The sequence below is a fragment of the Homo sapiens genome, chromosome 1 (genome assembly GCF_000001405.40).
Source record: "Homo sapiens chromosome 1, GRCh38.p14 Primary Assembly".
In the NCBI taxonomy this organism is placed as follows: Eukaryota; Metazoa; Chordata; class Mammalia; order Primates; family Hominidae; genus Homo; species Homo sapiens.
In genome coordinates, this window is record NC_000001.11 from 240050284 (window position 1) to 240074572 (window position 24289).

The following is a 24289-nucleotide window of genomic DNA, read 5'->3' on the forward strand; positions in this document are numbered from 1 at the left end:
TATGCAATTCTTATAATGTAATAGAGAACATAAAAAATTAAAGAAGCTACTCTATGCAGTGAAAAATTAGCATCTTTGCATCCTAGTGCACAAAGCATTAAAACTATCAGAACGATTTAATCTGTAAAACTTGAAGCTGCAAATGTGGATATCCAAGGGTACTTACCTAGTGTAATTGTTGAGAAGACTCAGAAGCTGCTGGGACCTGAAGTATCCCTAGAAATAATACATTCCTTTTATATGTTGAAAATAGTATTATCTGTTAGAAAAAAAGGATAGAAACTTTTTCCTGAAGTTGGTTACCATGATGTTCACATACAAAAACTAGACTGAAACATTCATTTGCACTCAAGGAAAAATGTTTCACAGGCATTGGTTGAAGTGATATTTTTCCTGATCTGTCACAAACCAGAAACTCCCAGTGTACTGAGATTGTTAATATGATGTAAATTAAGCACTTAATGGATTACGTTTCAGTGATAATCATGTAAAACCATTGATTTAGTCCAGGAATTGAGGGATAATTTGAAGCATTATGTTCCAGCAATCACATCAATAACGACCAAAGTCTGGGGGACAGTGGCATGTACATTTCTGTTAAAGACAGTGTCTAGGCCAGGTGCAGTGACTCACACCTGTAATCCCAGCACTTTGGGAGGCCGAGGTGGGAGGATCACCTGAGGTCAGGAGTTCCAGACCAGCCTGGCCAACATGACAAAACTCCATCTCTACTAATAATACAAAAAAATTAGCCAGGCATGCTGTCGCATACCTGTACTCACAGCTACTCAGGAAGCTGAGACACAAGGATCGCATGAACCCGGGCAGCAGAGGTTGCAATGAACCAAGATGGCACCACTGCACTCCAGCCTGGGCAATAGAGCAAGATTCCGTCTCAATTTAAAAAAAAAAAAAAAAAGACAGTGTCTAACTGAAGAACATTATGTCCTCTGCTTTTCCTACTCATCCAGCGGATTCACAGTTTTTGGTTTGAACACTGAAGAATAGAAATACTTCTATAGCACCAGAGTATCGGCAAATCCTCATCTTTTCTTTAGTAATGTGTCAAGCATTTGCAAGCTGGTGAAGTGGATTACGAGGCTGCAATCACACCACTGGAATCTAATGAATAACACTTTTCAAAATCTTAAGTTCTTTTTAAAAAAAACAGGTTTAGCGAGATATAACTTATATACTATATAATTCACCCATTTAAAGTGTACAATTCAATAGCTTTTATTATATTCATAAAGTTGTGCAACCACCACCACAACCAATTTTAGAACTTTTTTTTTTTTTTGAGACAGAATTTCGCTCTTGTTGCCCAGGCTGGAGTGCAATGGTGCAATCTTGGCTCACTGCAACCTCTGCCTCCCGGGTTCAAGCGATTCTCCTGCCTCAGCCTCCCAAGTAGCTGGGATTACAGGTGTGCACCACCACGCTCAGCTAATTTTTTGTATTTAGTAGAGACGGGGTTTCATCATGTTGGTCTCCAACTCCTGACCTCAGGTGATCCACCTGCCTCAGCCTCCCAAAGTGCTAGGCTTACAGGCATGAGTCACCATACCCGGCCAATTTTAGAACATTTTTATCACCCCAGAATAAACCTGTACACATTAGCCGTCACTCCCCATTTCCCCACAACCTCTCCCAGACCCTGGCAACCACCCATCTACTTTCTGCTGTGTGGATTTCCCTATTCTGTACGTTTTATAGAAATGGAGTCACAGAATATGTGGAACCTTCTTGGTTTTTTTTGTTTGTTTGTTTGTTTTTTCTTGAGATGGAGTCTCGCTCTGTTTCCCAGGCTGGAGTGCAGTGGTGGGATCTCAGCTAATGGCAACCTTCGCTTTCCAGGTTCAAGCGATTCTCCTTCCTCAGCTTCCTGAGTAGCTGGGACTACAAGCGTGTGCCACCACTCCCGGCTAATTTTTGTATTTTTAGTAGAGACGGGGTTTCACTGTGTTGGCCAGGCTGGTCTCGAACTCCTGACCTGAGGTGACCCAACCCGCCTCAGCCTCCCGAAGTGTTGTTTTAAGTGTAGGGGTAGGGAAACAATTGTCTGCTTTTCTATTATTGTAAGTTTCTTTTCTTATAATATTTAGAATCCTTTTGTCCCTAAATAGTATCTTTGTAATTCTTATCACAGGTGGAAACAGAAAAGAGGATGGTCCCAAGTTTTCCATGGTGTTTTCCACCTGGTGTCTTGGTACAAATGCTCTGTGCTGACACTGTTGGGGATGGGAGGGCATGTGAAATCCATCTGCTCTTGTCAGGCAGCCAATGCTAACTGTGGGGTCCCAGCAAACTAAGTCACCCATCAAAGTAATCTGGAGTACAGAAGTCAGAAATCTAAGGCTAAACTGAAAGTCCATGAGAAAGAGTTGGGAGTGAAACATTCGAGTAATTAGTTCAAACATCAAATAGAAGTAGACAATAGCAAGATTGAAGTCAGGGTATGGTGTCTAGTGTTTAAAGTTAGACAGAAATCAGATCAGAATATGAGTAGGTAAGAAACAAGCACTTAATGTAAATGACGTTAGTGAAAGGCCTTTAATATTAGAAACATCGGGCAGGACGTGGTGTCTCATGCTTGTAATCCCAGCACCATGGGAGACGGAGGTGGAGGCGGGTGGATCACTTGAGGTCAGGAGTTTGAGACCAGCTTGGCCAACATGGTGAAACCCCATCTCTACTAAAAATACACACCACAAAAAAATTAGCTAGGCATGGCGGCACATACCTGTAGTCCCAGTTACTTGGGCGGGGAGGCTGAGGCAGGAGAATCACTTGAATCCAGGAGGCGGAGGTTGCAGTGAGCCCAGATCAAGCCACTGCTCTCCAGCCTGGGCCACAGAGCAAGACTCCATCCCCCTCCCCGCTCCAAAAAAATTCAGAACATAGGTAGTGCATTGAAAGACACTGAATGACCAATTATTCTTTGCGCTGATTCTTTGCGTTCTTGGAGGATGGGTAGACATTGTTGATTGCCTTCAAAATAGCCATTTCCTCCTTTCCCTGCATCACTCCGACATCCCCTCCTCCATTCTGGCTAAGTATAGGACTGAAAATGCTGTGTATTCTATTTCCATTCCTTCTTCCAGTTTGTGCTAAGAGTGAGATCTAACTGTGGCCCATGTGACCTGGTGGGAGATTGCTGGGAGACTTATTAGATTGGGTTTTCTCCCTAGTTTAAAAAAAAAAAAAAAAGATCTTATATAATTAACCTTTGTTTTGTAAGACATTGTCTTTGTCTGATTCCTGAAGTGTAACAACTGTCTTGAAACCAGGAAGGGACAAGTCAAATGACAGCAAAATTAGAATATAGAATACACCCAAGTCCCTGATACCAATATGGCACTTCTGATTTAAACAACCATAGGATGCCTTATCTTCACTTTTAAAAATGTGAGTTTTAACTACTTTCAATAACGTTCAATAATGTACTCTGATCCTTTTTTTTTTTTTTTGAGATGAAGTTTCACTCTTGTTGCCTGGGCTGGAGTGCAATGGCATGATCTCGGCTCACTGCAACCTCCGCCTCCCAGGTTCAAGCGATTCTCCCGCCTCAGCCTCCTGAGTAGCTGGGATTACACTCAGATACTTTTTATAGGAAGCATCCTAAAATTATATGCTGAAACTAATATACTGCTTTCAGAAGATCGTTACTTATGAATCTTAATTACAATGGAAAGGACACAGTTGTACTTTTAGTGTGATGGAATTACCATCACAATTAACCATTGGAATTACCATCCAATTACCACTTGGGTTTCTGATCTGGAACATCCTTCTAATGAATGTTGCATTTGGTCAATATTCCAAGAGCTAAAGATAGTATTGTGTACTAAGAGATCTTAAGAGCTGAGGGCGACACGCAGTGTTACTTGGCAGTGAATGCTTCCTCAGAAACAGTGAAATCATGGAAACGTCAGGGGCGTTTGAACTAGAGCAACTCCATCTTGAATAGGGGCTGGGGAAAATAAGGCTGAGGCCTCCTGCGCTGCATTCCCAGAGGCATTCTTAGTCACAGGATGAGATAGGTCAGCACAAGATACAGGTCACAAAAGCCCTGCTGATAAAACAAGACACAGTAAAGAAGCCAGCCAAAACCCACCAAAGCCAAGACGGCAATAAAAGTGACCTCTGATCATCCTCATTGCTCATTATACACTAATTATAATGCATCAGCATGCTCAAAGACACTCCCACCAGTGCCATGACTATTTACAAATGTCATGGCAACGTCCAGAAGTTACCCTATATGGTCTAAAAGGAGGAGGAACTCTCAGTTCCAGGAATTGCCTGCCCTTTCCCGGAAAACTCATGAATAATCCAACCCTTGTTTAGCATAAGCATATCATCAATAAATAACTATAAGTATATTCACTCAAGCCGCCCATGCCACTGCTCTGCCTATGGAGAAGCGATTCTTTATTCCTTTACTTTCCTAGTAAACTTTCTTTCACTTTGCTCTGTGGACTCGCCCAGAATTCTTTCTTGCGTGAGGTTCAAAAACCACCCCTTGGGGTCTGAATCGGAACCCCTTTTGGATAACAGAAACATCAAGGCACAGTGCCCAAAATGGGCAGTATATGAAGGACCATATAAGTTCCTCGAGGTTGGGAGGGGGTGCAGGGAAGGAGGTTGATTTTCTTTGAGATATGGGTTATACACCTGGCTTCTATCTGTAGTGCTTTGGTTTGATTTATAGCTGAGCTCATTGACCAGGACCTTGTCTATATGACATCTCAATTTCCCTTAATCTATTTCAGTAAAGATTCAAAGGCAAGACTTGGCTGGAAACCAAAACACATCATTTTGATTAGGGTTTTGGGTTCAGCAAAGGCTACAAGCAGGGCCTGTAACTCCTTATGATCGACACATTGTGATATTGCCCAGAAGCAGTTTTGATGGCTCTTGAACCAGAACTCTGCTTTCCTTTTTAAATTAAAATGATACAGATGATACAGTTTTGCTGCCTGGTGGTCCTGCCCCTTTTGGAAAGTGATCAGGTCTTATACGGAGCAACTCTACTATACTCCTGTCTTCATCCCCTATCTCCACATTAAGGAAGATCAAGAATCAGAAAGGGTGTATACATTCCCTTCAAGCAATTACCTCTATCTTCAAGCAAGAGTCTGCTCAGCAAAAGCCTCTTCGGACCACCCCAGCTAACTGCAGGGTACCTCTACCTAAGCCCAGAACGAACTACTGGACTGTCAATGGTCCTGGCCACAACTTTGCTCCTGTAGGAAAGTGAGAAAATGGAAAGTCAGATCCTGAGGCCAGAGCTGCAAATAACACAGTGTGGGATGGATAAGTAGCCAAATTACCATAAGGCAAGTTGCTAAGTGCTGTGATAGATGATCAAAGAGAAGAAAGTAGGGAACCCCAGAGAAGATGGAGATGGGAGATAATTTTCAAGTCTACATTTAGGAAGGAATATTAGAGCTGATAGTAAATTCCACAGGAGGTTGCCCTGGGGTGTAGGGATAGGGAAGGCTTTTTAAGCAAGGGAAGCCAGGAGTACACATAAAATCAGGAATACCAGCATGTATGCATTGTACTTAGGACACAGTGAGTACCTTAGATAAAGACAGTATACTTTATACTCAAGTGTACTTTTATATTCAGGAATGGAAACAGAAAGATGGTGGTGGGGAATGCAGAAAGGTAAGATGGAAAGATAAATTGAAGATCTATTATGAAGGCTTTGACTGGCATACCCTGGAAAATGGCCTGGAAACTATTGAATGTTTCTAATCTGGTCAAATAATTAGGTCCCTCCCAGATCACATGCCTACAGAGGCTGGACACTTAATGTAAATTATGAAGAGGCCCCCAAGTGGAGATGGTGATGAATTATGCCCGTTTAAAAGGGTTTGTGCTACCCAGCTGCAGGGGATTTTTACCATTTGAAAAGACAAACCAATGTCCCCAGATCTTTAAATTGTTAAAAAGAAGTCAGGAAGCCAACTACACCAAACTCCCAATTTCTAAATGTTGACAGCTAATTTAAAACCAAAGTGAGTACATTCTGTTGGCCAAACAACACATTTCTATAAGCTGGATTTGTCTGGATCTGAAAGCTTCTGGATTTTCACTCAGCCCTAAACAATGCTGCAAAGTAGATAAATTATGTGTGTGTGTGTGTGTGAGAGAGAGAGAAAGAGAGACAGAGAGAGAAAGAGAGAGGGAGAGAGAGGGAGAGTCCATTTTTATGGTTTCATCACGTTGAATTTTTAAATGAGATTTGAAAACCCAACGTATTTAAAGGGTCAATTAATGGCAACACAGCTCAGGAGACAGGCTGCACATAATGGCTCTGTGGTTAGAAGTCTAGCCCTAGGACTGAAACCGATTTATTCAGTGACCTTGAATAAGGTCATTAACCATGAGTTGGCTTCAGCATCTGTCTCTAACACATCCAAGGTAGCAACTGCCAAGCTGCTAGGAGAAGAGCTCACTGAAGAGATTTAAACACTTAGCTCCCTCCCAAAAACGTGTTTTCAAGAACTCACAATCATCTCTGTCATTTGTTTCATTTAAACAGTTCTCATGAATTTTGCCAAGATTATCAGCACACTATAATAACGTCTGAAAACGACACTTATTAAACACTATCAGCTGAATGTAAGCTTTCACAGCATTGTAAAACAAACAAACAAAAAAACCCAATACTTGTTTTATAAATTATGACATACGTTTTCCAGGAAAAAATATCTCTATTTGTTTCCAGTCAATATATTTTTTTCAACCCCTTAGGCTCTTAAACTAACTCCCTTTTAAAAGCACAGTAGAAAAATAAAAATGTATTCAATATTTTCAGCCTCGTTCTTCATAAGCAAATAAATTGAGAGGAGAACTAATATTTACTTCTCTTCTTATCCACTCAGGTGGCTGCATTTGAGATTTTGAATATGAATTATCTATATATATATCCGATCCTGCAGTCAAAGCGATGAAGAACGCTCATTTGCATTATAATTTTTAGCAAGACATATTTAGTTAACTATAATGGACTTCTTTGTATTTTGATACCAAAGCATATTTAATATTCCCATGTTGTATTTGTCAAACCTAAATGTGTGCTGCACAGATATGCAAAATAATTATAATTTTAACCGTTTCAGTTCAACTAATATATTTCATATATTCCAAAATTACTACATAGCATATGCTACCATATTTCCTCTATTTATTTGTATACAATTCTTCTTCTCTCTTGATATGGTTTTTCAGTCTTTAGTAACGCCTTCAATCTCATCCAACTTATTACTGGCATTAAAAAATAATCCTTGTGCTTCTCATTTGCAAACTTTGTGATATTTCTTCAACATTATAAATTAATTGACTGCTCTTCTTAAACACCTTTAGCATTGGCAAGAAGCAGTGGCTCATGCCCGTAATGACAGCGCTTTGGGAGGTCAAGGCCAGGGGATCACTTGAGGCTAGGAGTTCAAGACCAGCCTGGGCAATAAGCAAGACACTTGTTTTTACAAAAACTCAAATCGTTAGCCAGGTGTGGTAGCATGTGCCTATAGTTCTACCTACTCAGGAGGCTGAGGCAGGAAGATTGCTTGAACCCAAGAGCTCAAGGCTGCAGTGAGCTGTGACATTGCACTCTAGCCTCGGTGACAGTGTCTCTTAGAAGAAAGAATACACAGCCTTGATCTTACAAAATCAATGTACACATTTCATTTTTGTGCATTGTAAGTATGGTGACATATTCCCCACTTCACTCCCACTGCTTCCCCCTACCCCTTCCTCTTTAGCGAGAGACCACCTGCTCCAACAATTTCACCCATGTTTTGCTACATTCTTATTTGCATTCTTTTCTTGGCATCTCCTGCGTCATATAGAGCTGATTCTATTGGCATCTGAGTGCATTTCTCACCCTCTACCCTCCTACATGCAGCTCGCCGGCTACTCTGTCCAAGCCCATCTTCTGACTGCGCTCTTTGTCTTCCTCACCCACTCCCAAACTCCATCCCTTGTTTTTTATTGACCTTTATGCTCGGAGCTGCCTCCCACGAACATTCATAAACCTCCTTACCACAGTCTCCCAAATCATTTCCCCAGAAGGCTTTCTAGTCTTGTAAGCGTTCCTATTTGTGTCGGCATGCTATACTCTTAGCTGTTTCTGCTCATGTACAGCAATTCTCTTTTCTTCCTTGAAAGATTTCATCTGAAACCTTATTATTTTCTGAATTCCTTTTTTGAACAGGAATAGTCAGGGAATTCACAGCAATATAGGTTAAATAAACACACCTAACATTTACTTTGAAGTAAATAAGGCCAACATGAGCGGGAGTCATACTCTTGCCTGATGGTCAAAGGGAACAGTGATAGCAGAACCAAAATTGTTCCTCGCATGTGGGAAATTACATCTTTGTTATGGTATTTTCATAAGCACTACTTGCCGGGTGCAGTGGCTCACGCCTGTAATTCCAACGCTTTGGGAGGCCAAGGCAGGAGGATTGCTTGAGCCCAGGAGTTTAAGATCAGCCTGGGCATCATAGTGAGACCCCTTCTCCACACACACACACACACACACACACACACACAAACACATTAAAAATTAGCTGGGCATGGTGGCACATGCCTGTAGTCCCAGCTACTTGAGAGGCCAAGGTGGAATGACTGCTGATCACTCCACTGAACTCCAGCCTGAGCCAGACTTTGTCTCAAAAATAAATAAATAAATAGTAACAGTAAGCGCTACTATCAGGAAATTTGAACTTTTTTATAAAAGTGCCAGGTCAACATTCTGAAAGTCTTTTTAAAACTGTGTTTAAGCATAACGCTTCCTGATTCTTAGACTCCTTCAGTTGTTTCGCTTTGTATGGTATATGAGACTTGAGGGTCCAGGCACGGTGGCTCACGCCTGTAATCCCAGCACTTTGGGAGGCCAAGGTGGGTGGATCGCCTGAGGTCAGGAGTTTGAGACCAGCCTGACCAACATGGTAAAGCCCCGTCTCTACTACAAATACAAAAATTAGCCGGGCGTGGTGGCCCGTGCCTGTAGTCCCAGCTACTCGGGAGGCTGAGGCAGGAGAATCACTCGAACCTGGTAGGCGGAGGTTGCAGTGAACAAAGATCGCGCCACTGCACTCCAGCCTGGGTGACAGAGCAAGATTCTGTCTCAAAAGAAAAAAAAAAGACTTGAAAGAAATTGTATGTCTTTAAATCTTTTTGAAAGCAGACACTATTATATATTTTTCAACTAGAGCAACTAGCAAACTAGCTTTTGGAGGACCTCTTTGTCATCCACTTGTTGCAGGCTTCTATACAGTTTCCAAAATCTGAAATTCTGTATCTGTCTTTGTTCATTGTGATCAGATATAAACTAAAGGCAAAAATAACAGCAATCAATAGTAATTATAAGCTTTGGACTCCTTGTAAATGAAGGTCAGAGGACAGACTGCCAAACTCCTCTTGGGAATGATGGCTCCCAGTCTGGGAAAAGACCGACACTAAATAAATTGTTCCCTGCCTTGCCCAAGGGCTCAAAAAGTGCCTTTTGTCCTGAACTGTAAAAGTAGTGAGGAGAAAATGTGGAGGTTTAAGCTCCTCATTCAGTCTCCTCCAACCATTCCATCAAGCGGGACATCCTCTCTCTCTAAACTTCTATTGCACTTAGATTTTTGGCCACTGAACTTTCTTGGGGTCAACCATATCGTCTTTTCTCTCTCTGTGTATTTGTTTTCCTGCTACCTTCTTATATAGAATTGCTGGAGGTAGGGGCCATAAGAATATATTAGCTTTTCTTGTCAGTTCACCATTAGTACAATGCAAATGGGAGATATATCAATTCATTTAAGGCATACCCACTATGCGCCAGGCACTGCGTGGGGTCCTAGAGATATAATAGTAAATAAGACACTGCCCTATCCTCAGAGGTATGAAATCTAGAGGAGAGAGACAGGCAAGCAAATAGGCAAACACTTTGAAATATGTGTAAAGGCCACCATAATACTTCCTTTTTGCCCTCTGAAGGTTCACTGAAAATCAGCTGACAAAAGTCGAATTAATAGGAGAGGCCAGGCGTGGTGGCTCATGCCTGTAATACCAGCCTGGACAACATGGCAAGACCCCATCTCTACAAAAAAAAAGTTACAAAATTTAGCTGGGCAGGCTGGGTGTGGCGGCTCACGCCTGTAATTCCAGCACTTTGGAGGCCAAGGCAGGTGGATCACGAGGTCAGGAGTTGGAGACCAGCCTGACCAACATGGCGAAACCCTGTCTTTACAAAATATACAAAAAGTAGCTGGGCATGGTGGCACGTGCCTGTAATCCCAGCTACTCAGGAGGCTAAGGCAGGAGAATTGCTTGAACCTGGGAAGCAGAGGTTGCAGTGTGCTGAGATCGTGCCACTGCACTCCAGCCTGGGTGACAGAGTGAGACTCAGTCTCAAAAAAAAAAAAAAAAATTTAGCTGGACATGGTGGTGCATGCCTGTGGTCCCAGCTACTCAAGTGGCTGAGGTGGGAGGATCACCCAGGCCCTGGAGGCCAAGGCTACAGTGAACTGTGATTGTGCCATTGCACTCCAGCCTGGGCAATAGAGTGAGACCCTGTCTCAAAAAAAAAAAAAAAAAAAAAAAAACAGAGAGAGAGAAATGGTATACAAATTTATTAGCATGCCACAAGAGGGAAATCCCCATTATGCAGTGGCGATAGATGCTTATTTACCCTTCTTCTTAGGTGAAAGGGAGATGGGGAAGTATGGATGATTTTAATGGGGTAGTAAGTGATTTTTTCGGAGAATTTAATGGGCTTGAATCACATACAATGGTCTGGAACATTGTCTGTGGGGCCCGCAGAGCAGACAATGGTTCGTGACGAAAATGTGTCCAGATGTGTTGACAGACTTCAGTCATTCTTCCAGCAATGAGTTCAGTGACGAAAACTCAGGGAAGGGACGAGAGGTCCAGACTTTAGGTGGATAAGGAGAACAACCTCATCCTTTGGGAGAGACAGAGGACTGAGAGACAGACCTGGGGCCAGAGGGGAACAGGGAAGATCAGATAGACTTTGAGACTTCTTCTTCAGTTCAACATGTCAAAGTGCTATATTTTGGGGTATTGGTTGGGTATTGGTTTCTGAGCCACAACATGTGATAAATGTGATCATTGAAGCCAAGGTTAGGGGCTCTGAGAGCATATTCGAGAAATTTGAAGGGTCCCGGATGAGCTCTTGGATGAAGTGACTTCTAACCTGCAATCTGAAGTTGGGTAGAACTTAGCACGGAATGCAAGGGTGGCGGAGGGGAGCAGAAAAGTTTTCCAGACAGCTTTAATGGCAACCCCAGAGACGAGAAGAAGTAGACAGCACATTAAAAACAAACAAACAAACAAAAAAACAGTAAATAAATCCGTCAGTATATTTGGAGTTTCTAATGGCGGTGTGGATTGGAGGTGGGGAAAGAGGAACTGTGCTATGCTGAAATGAACGTCTAAAGGTGAGCAGAGCCTTAGAGACAAAAGTTTTCATGAGAGACAGAATAAACAAACAGACAATGGCCAGACCCTGGATGACAACTGACCCACAACCTCTGAAGCAACCAGTCCAGGATGTCAACCAAACCACAACCTCTGTAGCATTGACTCAGAACATTCAGGGCTGTTGAATGGTCAATGACTGCCAGCTTCCCTCCCTATTCCCTCTCTCCTTGACCCCATCCAACTCAGGACCAACCAGAGAAAGCTAAACACAAGAGGACTTCAGAAAGTTCATGGAAAATTGAAATAAAAGATTTAAAAAATATATAAATTGTATTTCTCAATGTATGTTTCATCAAGTTTAAGACACATTTGTAAGTGATGATACCAACCATTTAGTCCATCCCTAAAGAACTAAGGGTCCTAGAAGTTTAACCGTATCAATGCAATCTTTGTTACATTATTAACTGAAGAAGAATGAATGCCCTTTAAATATGTTTTTAAAATTAGCAAACATAAAGAAGTCAGAGGGAGCCAAATCAGGACTGGAAGGTGGATGTCTAAAGATTTCCCATTGAAACTGTGGCAAAATTGCCCTTGTTTGATGAGAAGAAGTGAGCATTGGCATCGTCATGGTGGAGAAGGACTCTCTGGTGAAGCTTTCTTGGGAATTTTTCTGCTAAAGCTTTGGCTAACTTTCTCAAAACATGCTTATAATAAGCAGATGTTATCATTCTTTGGACCTCCATGAAGTCAATAAGCAAAATGCCTGGAGCATCCCAAAAAACTGTTGCCATGACCTTTGTGCTTGACTGGTTTTGCTTTTTTATTTATTTTATTTTTTAAGAAATTATATAACAGAGACAGGGTCTCATTACGTTGCCCAGGCTGGTCTTTAGCTCCTGGGCTCAAGCAATCTTCCCACCTTGGCCTTCCTAGTAGCTGGGACTATAGGCGTGAGCCACCACTCCCAGCCCCTGCTTTTGCTTTGACTGGGTCACTACCACTGCTGGATATCCATTGCTTTGATGGTGCCTTGTCTTCAGGATCATATCGGTAAAGCCGTGTTTCATCTCCTGTTACAATTCTTTGAGGAGATGCTTTAGGATCTTGATTTCACTTGTTTAACGTTTCAGTTGAAAGCTCTGTTCTTGTCTGCAGCTGATCTGGGCACAAAGGCTTCGGCAACGTTGAGTGAAAAGTTTGCTCAAATTTAATTTTCCGTCAGAATTGTGAAGCTGAACCAATTGAGATGTCCATGGTCTTGGCTATTTTTTTCTGATGTCAACCATCAGGGCATGAACAAGATAAATTCTTTCCTCACAAACTGATGTGGATGGTCTGCTGCTGTGGCCTTCAGCTCCGATGTTGTCTCCTCGCTTCTTCTTTTTTTTTTCTTTTTTTGAGACGGAGTCTCGCTCTGTCACCAGGCTGGAGTGCAGTGGCACCATCTCAGCTCGCTGCAACCTCCGCCTCCCGGGTTCAAGGGATTCTCCTGCCTCAGCCTCCCAAGTAGCTGGGACTACAGGCGCATGTCACCACACACAGTTAATTTTTGTATTTTTAGTAGAGACGGGGTTTCACCATGTTGGCCAGGCTGGTCTTGATCTTTTGACCCTGTGATCCACCCAGCTCAGCCTCCCAAAGCGCTGGGATTACAGGTGTGAGCCACCACGCCCGGCCGCCTCCTTGCTTCTTAAAATGAGTTATCCATTTGTAAACTGCTGATTTCTTTGGTGCATTGTCCCCGTAAACTTTTCATAAAGCATCAGTTTTTCCCACTCAACACTTTTCCCAGTTTTCCCACTCAACACTTAATGTTTGCTCTTGCTTCAATTTTAGCAGAATTCATGTGGCTCTGATAGAGGCTCTTTTCAAACTGATGCCTTATCCTTAGTGTGTCCAACCAGCCCCCGTTCAGACATGTTACAAAAAGTTACTATGAGTTTATTTTGGTGAAAGCAATTTTTGAAATCCATAGTTTTTTCATAGTACACATTTTCCATGAACTTTGAAGGACCCTGTATGCTCCTGAAACCAGGCACGTAAGATGCCCCATGTCATCAGCCTCCCCAGTTCCCCAGTCAGAGCACTCTGGAAGCCTTCTTTTTTTTTTTTTTTTTTTTTTTTTTTTTCCAGTATAAAGCTTTCCCACTCCTCTGCTTACCTTTGAGTCTCTGCCAGAGGGAAGTGATGGTGGCTGAGTCCCTTGTCAGGGCAGGCTCTGAATCAATACCTTCTGTTTGTTCTTATTTGGGTATTCTTTGTTTATTTCCACATACAATTGCCAACACTACCACCAATATTTATAATTGTCTCTTATTTGGCACACCAGAGGTGTTATACCCTGAAGGCAAGGCAACATATTAAGATTTAGGTTGGGTGAGAATGATGCTTTCTTTTCTAAAGAAAGAAAAGAGCAATTATGAAAGTGGGAGGGGAGGGGAGTAGGAAAGAAAAGGAGAATATTTTGACCTTGAAGCATATTCTCAGATTAATTTTAGAAAATAATATCTATGGAAGTTTAGGATCAAGAAAATAATTCCTGATGAACCTTCCCAGGAGCCCTTTTTGTTGTTGTTGTTTCTTTTGTTTTTTTTGGTTATTTTCTTGAGGCAGGGTCTTGCTCTCTTACCTAGGCTGGAGTACAGTGACACAAACACGACTCATTGCAGCCTTGACCTCCTGGGCTCAAGTGATCCTACTGCCTCAGCCTCCCATGTAGTTGGAACCACAGGTGCATGCCACCATGACCAGCTAATTTTTTTATTTTTTAAAAATTATAAATTTTGGTCTTGAACTCCTGGGCTCCTCAAATTCCTGGGCTCAAGTGCCTTGGCCTCCCAAAGTGCTAGGATTACAGACATGAGCCACCATGCTGGCCCACACTCTCTTTATAGCTACCTAGTCCATTATTACATATTCTCAGCATGGCGTTTTTCACTGTCTGATATTTCCCCTTCTCTTCCTCCCTCCTTCCCTCCTTATTTCTCTTTTGACCTCTTCTCAAGTAGAATGTCAACTCCATGAGACCTATGACAATTTTATCTGAAAACCTAGGGCAGTGCTTTGTCCATAGTTTGACACTGAATATATATTTGCTGAATAAGTAAATGAGAATAGAGAAAATGTCAAGAAGTTGAGGACATTCTCGTCTGATGGTTTGTAATTGCTCTGTGAAGTAGGAGGCCAAGTAGGAGACTAAAAGTAGAAATAGTGGAGTGGGCAAGTTGAAGAGGGTGGAATTTGGGGTGGTGAGAATGGAAGAAAGTGATGACAAAGAGAACACAGATTAATTGTTGGACAGCATTTAGGCCCTGCCACTCTAAAAATACAATGATTGCATGAAAGAATGAATGAATAAGGGCATGTCATTCTGCTGCTACTGTTCTGAAAAGCGCTTCTGAGAAATTGAGCTAAGCTTAATCACACAGTATGTGTGGTAGACAGAAAAATTACCTTCAAAGATATCCATATCCTAACCCCTAGAATCTGTGAACCTGTTGCCTCACATGACAAAAGGGACTTTTATAGAAATGTTTAAAATTTAAGGATTTTGAGGTGGGAAGTTTATCTTGGATAGTCCAGGTAGACTCGATATAATCAGAAGGGTCTTTATTAGAGAACAATGGAAAGGAAACTCAGAGTTAGAGGAGATCTGAAGATGGAAGCAGTGGGCAGAGTGAAGGAAGAAAGGTGATACAAGCAAGGAATGCAGGTGGCCTTTGGAATACACAAACGGTAAGGAAATCAGTTCTTCCCTAGAGCCCCAAGAAAGAACACAGTCTTGTTGACCCCTTGATTTTAGGTCTTCTGACCTCCAGAACTGTAAGGTAATACAGTTGTGTGGTGACTTACAGCAGCAATAAGAAATTAATATACCTTCAGTTCTATGCAGAACGTGCTTCTCAAACCATAATCTGAGACCTTCTTAAAATGTAGCCTCTGATTCAGTAGGTTTGATGTGGTGAGACCTGAGATTCTGCATATTTAACAAGCTCCCAGGTGAGGCCAGCCCTTTTGGGCTACAAACACTTGAAGTAGAATAAATCTAGAAGGCACCATCATGACAAATGAGAGAAATAGCTGTTATGGCCATACAGCATGTCTTTCATTTGTGTAGTTTTTCCAAACTTATAAATGAATATTGCATTTTATAAACACAGAAATGCTATAAAGCAGATACTAATATCTTTCCTATCACTGTCAAGAGAAAGGATATTCAGAAAGGGGTAAGGGAGGAGACCACACCTCATATTGTCTTATGCCCAATTTCTGCCTCCAAAGAAAGAAGAAGTAAAAACTAAAAGGGAGAAATGAAATCCACAGGCAGACAGCCCGGCAACGCGCCCTGGGCCTGGTAGTTAAAGATGGACCCCTGACCTAATCGGTTATGTTATCTATAGATTACAGACATTGTATGGAAAAGCACTGTGAAAATCCCTGTCCTGTTCTGTTCAGTTCTGATTACCGGTGCATGCAGCCCCCAGTCACGTACCCTCTGCTTGCTCAATCGATCACGACCCTGTCACGCAGACCCCCTTAGAGTTGTGAGCCCTTAAAAGGGACAGGAATTGCTCACTCGGGGAGCTCGGTTGTTGGAGACGTGAGTCTTGCTAAAGCTCCCGGCTGAATAAAGCCCTTAGTTCTTTAACTCAGTGTCTGAGGGGTTTTGTCTGTGGCTTGTCCTGCTACAGGGGAAGCCACTGGCCTGGGCTGCATACATGGTGCAGTCTATTTGGCTTTTGACAGAATCAGGCTTTTTTTTTTTTTTTTTGATGGAGTTTCGCTCTTGTTGCCCAGGCTGGAGTACAGTGGCCGGGTCTCGGCTCACTGCAACCTCTGCCTCCCGGGGTCAAGCGATTCTCCTGCCTCAGCCTCCCGAGTAGCTGGGATTACAGGCATGTGCCAACATGCCTGGCTAATTTTGTATTTTTAGTAGAGATGGGGTTTCACCATGTTGGTCAGGCTGGTCTTGAACTCCTGACCTCAGGTGATCCACCCACCTTAGCCTCCCACAGTGCTGGGATTACAGGCGTGAACCCCCGTGCCCGGCTGGAATCAGGCTTTGAGCTCAAGTTTTTTGTTTCCAAGTTCTTTTCACTAGGACAGTTAATGTGTGAAATGAAGAACTAGAAACAACCAAGTGTCAATGAACCCAGAAGCATCAGCGCTACTCAGGATGGGACATAAAGGACCAACAGCAACTACTGCAGAATTGAACTGACACAAGAACAGATGGGAAACAGAGATGAACCATTATTGGATTTTTCCATTTTGAGATTTGACCGAAATGGTAATCTTGTTTCAGATCATCTTGAAGATGCCTGTAGAGGGAGGCAATTTGCTTTGATCCAGCTACCTTAATAGTGAGTAAGTGTAAATTTGAAGCATTTTGTCACACTCTGCTATCTCACTTTTACCTGAAACTTCGTATTGTGTTTAGTCAGAATTTATTGAGCACCTACTTTGTGCCAAAGCACCATTCCAGACATTACAAAATCAAATATAGATAAGCGGTTGTCCCCGTACTCTCGGTTTTTACTGTATGGCAAAAAAGAAATAAATGTCCCCCAAAACCCCAAGCCATATATTGATGTATACAATTCTAGAAGAAATTGGAAAGATTAAATGTGTGGTTGATTAACTCTAGAAAAAGAGGACATAAAATATAAGGGGTTTTGTTTTATTTTGCCTCAGAGGCAATTTTGTGTATACCAAAAAGTCTACTGAGATTTTTTAAAATTAATGTTCAATCTACTAAAGTTACAAATTCAAAATCCTAGTTCTTCCCAAAGTTTTTAAGTGCGTAATATAATATTGTATTCTTATCTTATTGTCATTGTTCAATGTCACTTCCACAGAGCTTGTTATTGTTAAGTCTTGGCCTCATTTACAAATTTTATTTCTTTAAACCTTAAGCTGCATTTACAAATGTAGTATATTCCATTTCCTTCAAAAGTATTTTGACCTAATAAACAAAACCTCTCTGAGTGCTAGATAATTCTTATAAATGTAATACATTGAACTTATAATTACAGTGAAGTTCATATCCATGTTCCAACTCAGGAAGATTTAACTTAAAATCACAAGTCTAAATCAATTAATCCACCTCTCATTTTAGATTTATAGAAGATCTAGTGGGCCATCTTATGTTACACGTTAGAATAAATAAGAAAGGAATTCTTGCAAATTCCTTAACACAGATATATTAATAGTATGGCTTTGATTCTCCTACACATTTAGATTTGTCCTGAAACTGAAAAGATGCTTCAAGACAGTTCGACGTGTCAAGGCAGGTTCATTGATTCACCATTGTGGTACAGGATGTTGACAGCAAAGAAGGTTGGGGGACCAGGGGTTATATTGGGAACTCTCTGTATTTTGTATTCAGTATTGCTGTTAACCTAAAATGGCTTCAAAAAATTATCTATTAAATTAAAAGAAAGAGAGTGAGTATGAGCATGAAAGAGTTGCAAGAACCCAAAAAAGCAAGAAAAAAGTTACTGTCTCTGTTCATGGGAGAGTTGGTTGGGCTGCTACATTATCATCCATAACTCTCAACTTCATTTATAGTTGCATGTCAATGACTCCACAGCTTCAAGAGGTAGGCCAAGTCCCTGGATTTCAGTTACACTTATCACCTAACTCTGGAGTCTCTTAGAGATCCCTATAGTCTATCAAATTGGTCCTTTGATTAGATTTTGCAAGACTGGCTCTTAAGATAAATTAATGTTTACCTTTTAAATGTAAACATCTCTGAACCTTACTAAAACCCTTTGGTATTTTACATGTTTCATAGGCCCACACAAATTAGATATTGAAAGTGTGTTTCTTTGAATCCTGTGTGTTGGACAAGGTTTTCTCTGATTGGTAATTATACTTTACAAGATAATTTTAGTAACGGTGGCCTCCAACTCTAAAAGCATAGAGAAGAGAGGTAAACAAATAATTATATTATATGGTGAACTATTCAGTCATAGAAGATACTCACATAAGAAATGCCAATAGGGAATGAAGTGTCCAAAGAATATAGAAGAGTTTGGCACAGAATAGTGCCCTATGTGTTGTAGAGTACGCAGTAATCATTTATTGAGTGAATGAATGGATACACGAATAGTGAATAAAGTGCTCATAGAAGAATACTAGCTTGTTAGTACTAGAATGTAAAGTTACAAGGTAGGGTTATAGATTTTGACTTATAGTAAAATAAAACACATTCCACTTCTCCTAAAAATCCCCTGCGCTCCACCTGTTTATCTGCCACACCCCCGATTCCCAGAACCCCTGGCAACTACTGATCATTTTACTGTCTCTAAACTTTTGCAGAATTTTATGTGAATATCTGTTTTCAAATCAATTGGATAAATAAGATTCCTTGGATCATATGGTGAGACTACACTTAGCTTTGTAAGAGACTGCCAAACTGGCTTCCAAAACGGCTGTGCCACATTTGAATTCCCGCCTACGGTGGGTGACAGTTCCTGTTGCTTCGCATGCTTGTCAGTATTTGGGGTTGTCAGTGTTTTCGATTTTAGCCATTCTAATAGGTATGTAATGGTACCTCCTTGTTATTTTAATTTGTGATTTCCTGAAAACAAATGATAAGCATCTTTTTCACATGCTTATTTGCCATCCATGTATCTTCTTTGGTGAGGTATCCAGATTTTTTGGCCCATTTTTTAACTGGGCTATTTTCATATTGTTGCATTTTAAGAGTCCTTTGTATTTTTGGATACAACTCCTTTATCAGATATGAGTTTGGTAAATATTTTCTTGCTGTCTGTCACTTGTCTTTAGATTTTCCTAACAATGTTTTTACAGAGAAGTTTTTAATTTTAATGAAGTATAACATCAATTTTTTTCTTTCATGGAATGTAATTTTGCAGTTATACCTAAAAACTCACAGTCATAAATTTTTTGTGACTAAACCCAAGGTCATATAAGTTTTCTCCTATGTCTTCTATCTTTTTTTAAAAAAAATTATTTTAAAAATAGAGGTAAGGGCTTGTCATAACCCTTAGACAGGGTGGGTTTGAACTCCTGGTCTCAAGCAGTCCTCCTGCCTTAACTGGGATGAGAAGCATGTGCCACTGCGCCTGGAATATATATATATATATTTCTTTTCTTTTTTTTTTTTTTTTTTGACGGAGTTTTTGCTCTTGTCGCCCAGGCTGGAGTGCAGTGGTGCAATCTCGGCTCACTGCAAGCTCCGCCTCCCGGGTTCAAGCGATTCTCCTGCCTCAGCCTCCCGAGTAGCTGGGACTACAGGCGCCCGCCACCGTGCTCGGCTAATTTTTTGTATTTTTTAGTAGAGACGGGGTTTCACCGTGGTAGCCAGGATGGTCTCCATCTCCTGACCTCGTGATCCGCCCGCCTCGGCCTCCCAAAGTGCTGGAATTACAGGCTTGAGCCACCACGCCCGGCCATTTTATTTTTAAAAAGGTTCATGATTTTATGGTAGGGAACAAGTTTGCCCCACAGAGGCAAGATTTGTCCTTGGTTGGCCTGTCTCCTGGAAAGAGAATTGAGGTCTGGAACTCTAGGCCTCTTGTCCATTTACTACACCATCCAGAACATTTATGTAAGCATTTCCAGCAATTGTCCTGTCCATTCTGATTTGATTAGCAAAGGTCACATGTCCATTCTTAAAATAGTATTTCTGTGCTAAGTCATATATTCCACTCCAGATACTGGGCAGGGGTGGAGTCAGCTTCCCCAGAAGCACATTGATTTCCACATGGAAATTGGGCTGTGTTCTAAAATGCTGGGAAAGCAGTCACATATGTGCAATGCCAGCATGAAACCAAAGGGTTGGGGGTTAGATCATTAAGGGCTTTATGTCTAAACAGGTGATGGGGTGTTTTAGTTCATTCTTTCATTGCTACGAAGAAATACCTGAGACTGGGTAATTTATGAAGAAAATATGTTTAATTGGTGCAGGGCTGAACAGGAAGGACGGTGTTGGCACTTTCTCAGCTTCTGGGGAGGCCTCAGGAAATTTACAATCATGGCGGAAGACAAAGTAGGAGTGGGCACTTCACGTGGCTGGAGCAGGAGGAAGAGAGAGGGAGGCGGAGGTGCCAGATCTGGTCATTTAAAATGATCTGGTCAAAACAACAAACTCACTATTGTGAGGACAGTACCAAGGGGGTGGGAATAAACCATTCATGAGAAACCACCCCCGTGATCCAATCATCTCCCACCAGGCTCCACCTCCAACACTGGGGGTTACAATTCCACATGAGAGTTGGTGGGGACACAGATCCAAACCATATCAGAAAGTAATGGAGTCATCTTACAGAGGAGTAGTAAGGTGTTAGATCTGCATGTTAGAATTTTATTTTCTGTAGCCTGGAAGGGATTCAAGCTGTGCATGCCTTGAGGTAGATTAATGAGGGAGCTCTAGCAGTGGTCCTGGAGAGAGAAGCTGAGGGCTTTGAACTCAACTATGGCTGTGACAGTGGCAAGGAGAATGGGAAGGAGAGAGCAAATTCAAGACATGTTTAGGAATTAAAACAATGACAAAAAAAAAAAAAGACAAAAAAAGCTTTTCGAGCTGGGTATGGTGGTGCATGCCTGTAGTCCCAGCTACCTGGAAGGCTGCAGTGGGAGGATCACTTGAGCCCAGGAGTTTGAGTCTAGCCTGGGCAACATAAGGAGACCTTGTCTCTAAAAAAATTTGTTTTAAAATAAAAAGCGTTTTGAATGATTTTCTTGTTTCTCTAATTGATAATCCCACAAATTGGGGAATAAAGGATATTAGAACAGGAGGCTGGAGGTAGGATGGCCACAGTTGATAGATTATCTTGAACATGTTGGATTTGATATGTCTTTAAGTCAACCTATAGGAAATGTCAAGTAGGCAAGTGGATTTGGGGATGTATTATAGTTAGGCTGAGGGCAGAGATAGAATATCACCATTAAAACCAAAAACAGAATTTGAGTAGACTAAACCTCTTAGTAAAAGATTGGGCACTAATGGAACCACCCAGTGAGTTCTTCTTGCCTGCTGCCCAGATACAGCTGATGTATGAAGATAGAGGAATTGCAATAGAGAAAGAGTCTTACACATGAGATGGCTCAAGAGAGACTGGAATTTTATTATTATGCAAATCAGCTTCCCTCAAAATTCAGAGGCTAGGGCTTTTCAAGGATAGTTCAACAGGCAAGGGAATGTGTGCTACTCATTGGTTGGGGATACAATCACAGAGGTGCAAAAATGGTCCTCAGGCCTGCTGAATCTGCTTCTAGGTAGGGACACAGGACTGGTTGGTGGTATGGGTGGAGTCATTGGTCATCAGAAATGCAAAAACCTGAAGACATCTCAAAAGGCCAACCTTAGGTTCTGCAATAGTAGAATAATTGGGGAATCTACAAGTCTTGTGACCTCCAGGATAATGGCAAGAATCATTTCTGTCTACACTTTAGCAGAATTCAGGCTCCTCTCATCCTCCTAACCTGGTGGTCTTTCATTAGTTCTACAAAGGTAGTTTAGTTTTGGAGAAGGGCTATTATCATTTAAACTGTAAACTAAATTTCCCGAAAGTTAGCATGGACCAAGCCTGGGACTAATTAAAGACAGTTTGGAGATTAAACACAAGATGGGGATTGGTCAGATCTCTTTCATTGCCATAATTTTCTCACTGTTGTATTTTTTGCAAAGGTGATTTCACTTTAACGAAGCCTACCTATTATCTATTCTCTAGAAGTTCATTGTTAAGTAAGTAGTTGAGGTTCTGATTCCTTAGAGTGACTCAGTTTCAATTCAATCCTTGTCGTCATTTGAATATCTCAAATTGACAAACCACTTTGTGTATGATTTTATATAGATGTCTGATTAGCTGTTCTGCAAATTCACAATTGCAGTCAAGATTCTCTTGTCCAGCACAGGAAAACAAGACAAGCAGCACCTTTTCCAGTAGTCTCTCAATAAGACTTTTTCCTGTGTTTATAGATGTAAAATTTGCTAATGAGCAAGGCCTGAGAGCTAACATTGAAGTTGTTCTGAAGATAACCTATTCAGTGGATTAGAAATATATATTCATGGCCGGGTGCTCCTGTAATCCCAGCACTTTGGGAGGCCAAGGCAGGCGGATCACCTGAGGTCAGGACTGCGAGACCAGCCTGGGCAACATGGTGAAACGCCGTCTCTACTAAACACAGAAAAATTAGCCAGATGTGTTGGCACAGGCCTGTAATCCCAGCTACTCGGGGGGCTGAGACAGGACAATGGCTTGAACCCAGGAGGCAGAGGTTGCCGTGAGCCAAGATCAAGCCACTGCACTCCAGCCTGGGCAACAGAGTGAGACTCTGTCTCAAAAAAAAAAAAAGAAAGAAAGAAAGAATAAAGAAATATATACTCATTTTAGAATAGAATATTCATTTTTTAAAACACTGCGTTCATGTTCTAATGATGCTGTAACAAATTACCACATACTTAGTGGTTTCAAATAACACAACTGCATTATCACACAGATCTGGAGGTCAGAAGTCTTAAAATCCAAATGTCAGCAGGGCTGTGCTCCTTCTAGAGGCTCTTAGGGAAAATCTGCTTCCCTGCCTTTTCCAGCCTCCAGGGGCTTTATGCATTCCTTGGCTCACAGCTCTTTCCTCATATCACTCTGACCTCGGCTTTTGCCTCCCCGTTTTTCTTACTCCAACTCTCCTTCCTCCCTCTTTCACATTTAAAAGACCTTTGTGATTCCACTGGGCCTACCTGGATAATCCAGGACACTCTCCCCATCTCAAGATCAGCTAATTAGCAACCTTAATTTCATCTGCAACCTTCATTCCCCACTGCCATGTAACATGTTTATTTACAGGTTCTAGGGATTCTGACATAGACATCTTTAGGGGCCATCATTCCGCCTACAATTGTGGGCCGATGTCTTCCTTCTCTCCCGACCTCAGCAGGTTGGGTCTGGGTGGACACTTGAAATTGGTAGAACAGTCCACAGTTGGGATGAGTCAAACATGACTGAGTACTTGACTGTGAAGTTAGGTAGAACTCAGCCTTGCTCAGCTATCGCAGGCCACGTACATGCTGGTTAGTGAACAGAAGGAAACAGGAGGTTGCAGATACAGGGAGACAAGTAGCAGCAAGAGACAGACCAGAGATAGAGAAAGTAGTTCTGATGATTTTCTTTTTTTGAGACAGAGTCTCTGTCGCGCAGGCTAGAGTGCAGTGGCACGATCTCATCTCACTGCAGCCTCCAGCTCCCTGGTTCAAGGAATTCTTGTGGCTCAGCCTCCCAAGTAATTGGGATTACAGGTGCACATTATCACACCTGGCTAATTTTTGTATTTTTAGTAGAGATGAGATTTCACCATGTTGGCCAGGCTGGTCTCAGACTCCTGACCTCAAGTGATCTACCTGCCTCGGCCTCCCAAAATGCTGGGATTATAGGCGTTAATCCCAGCACTTTGAATTGGAAAATGGATTTTCTAAACTGAATTAGAAAATAGTAAAAACTGGGTTCGGATTTAGTTTCCCACTCCGCTATTTTCTTTCCAGTATATATTTCAGACCAGTAAAGAAGAGAGGTAAATAACCAATTAAGAAAAGTTTCCTTGCTGGATACTGAGATGTTTGATGGTTCCTGCCACTCCTACTGGCACTTAGTACATTTGTGGTCTATTATGCAGCTTAGCAATTTTGAAAAACATTTTTATTCTCTTTAGCTCATCCCTTCTTAAAAATAAATATTAAGGTTTTGGGGAGCTGAGGATACGAAATTCGTAATGTATACAACAGCTGACCAGTTCCTGTCAATAAAATATGACAATTAAATTCAGAAGCGAGGCCCTTTCCTTGCTTATCTTGTTTAGTGAGACAAGCTCA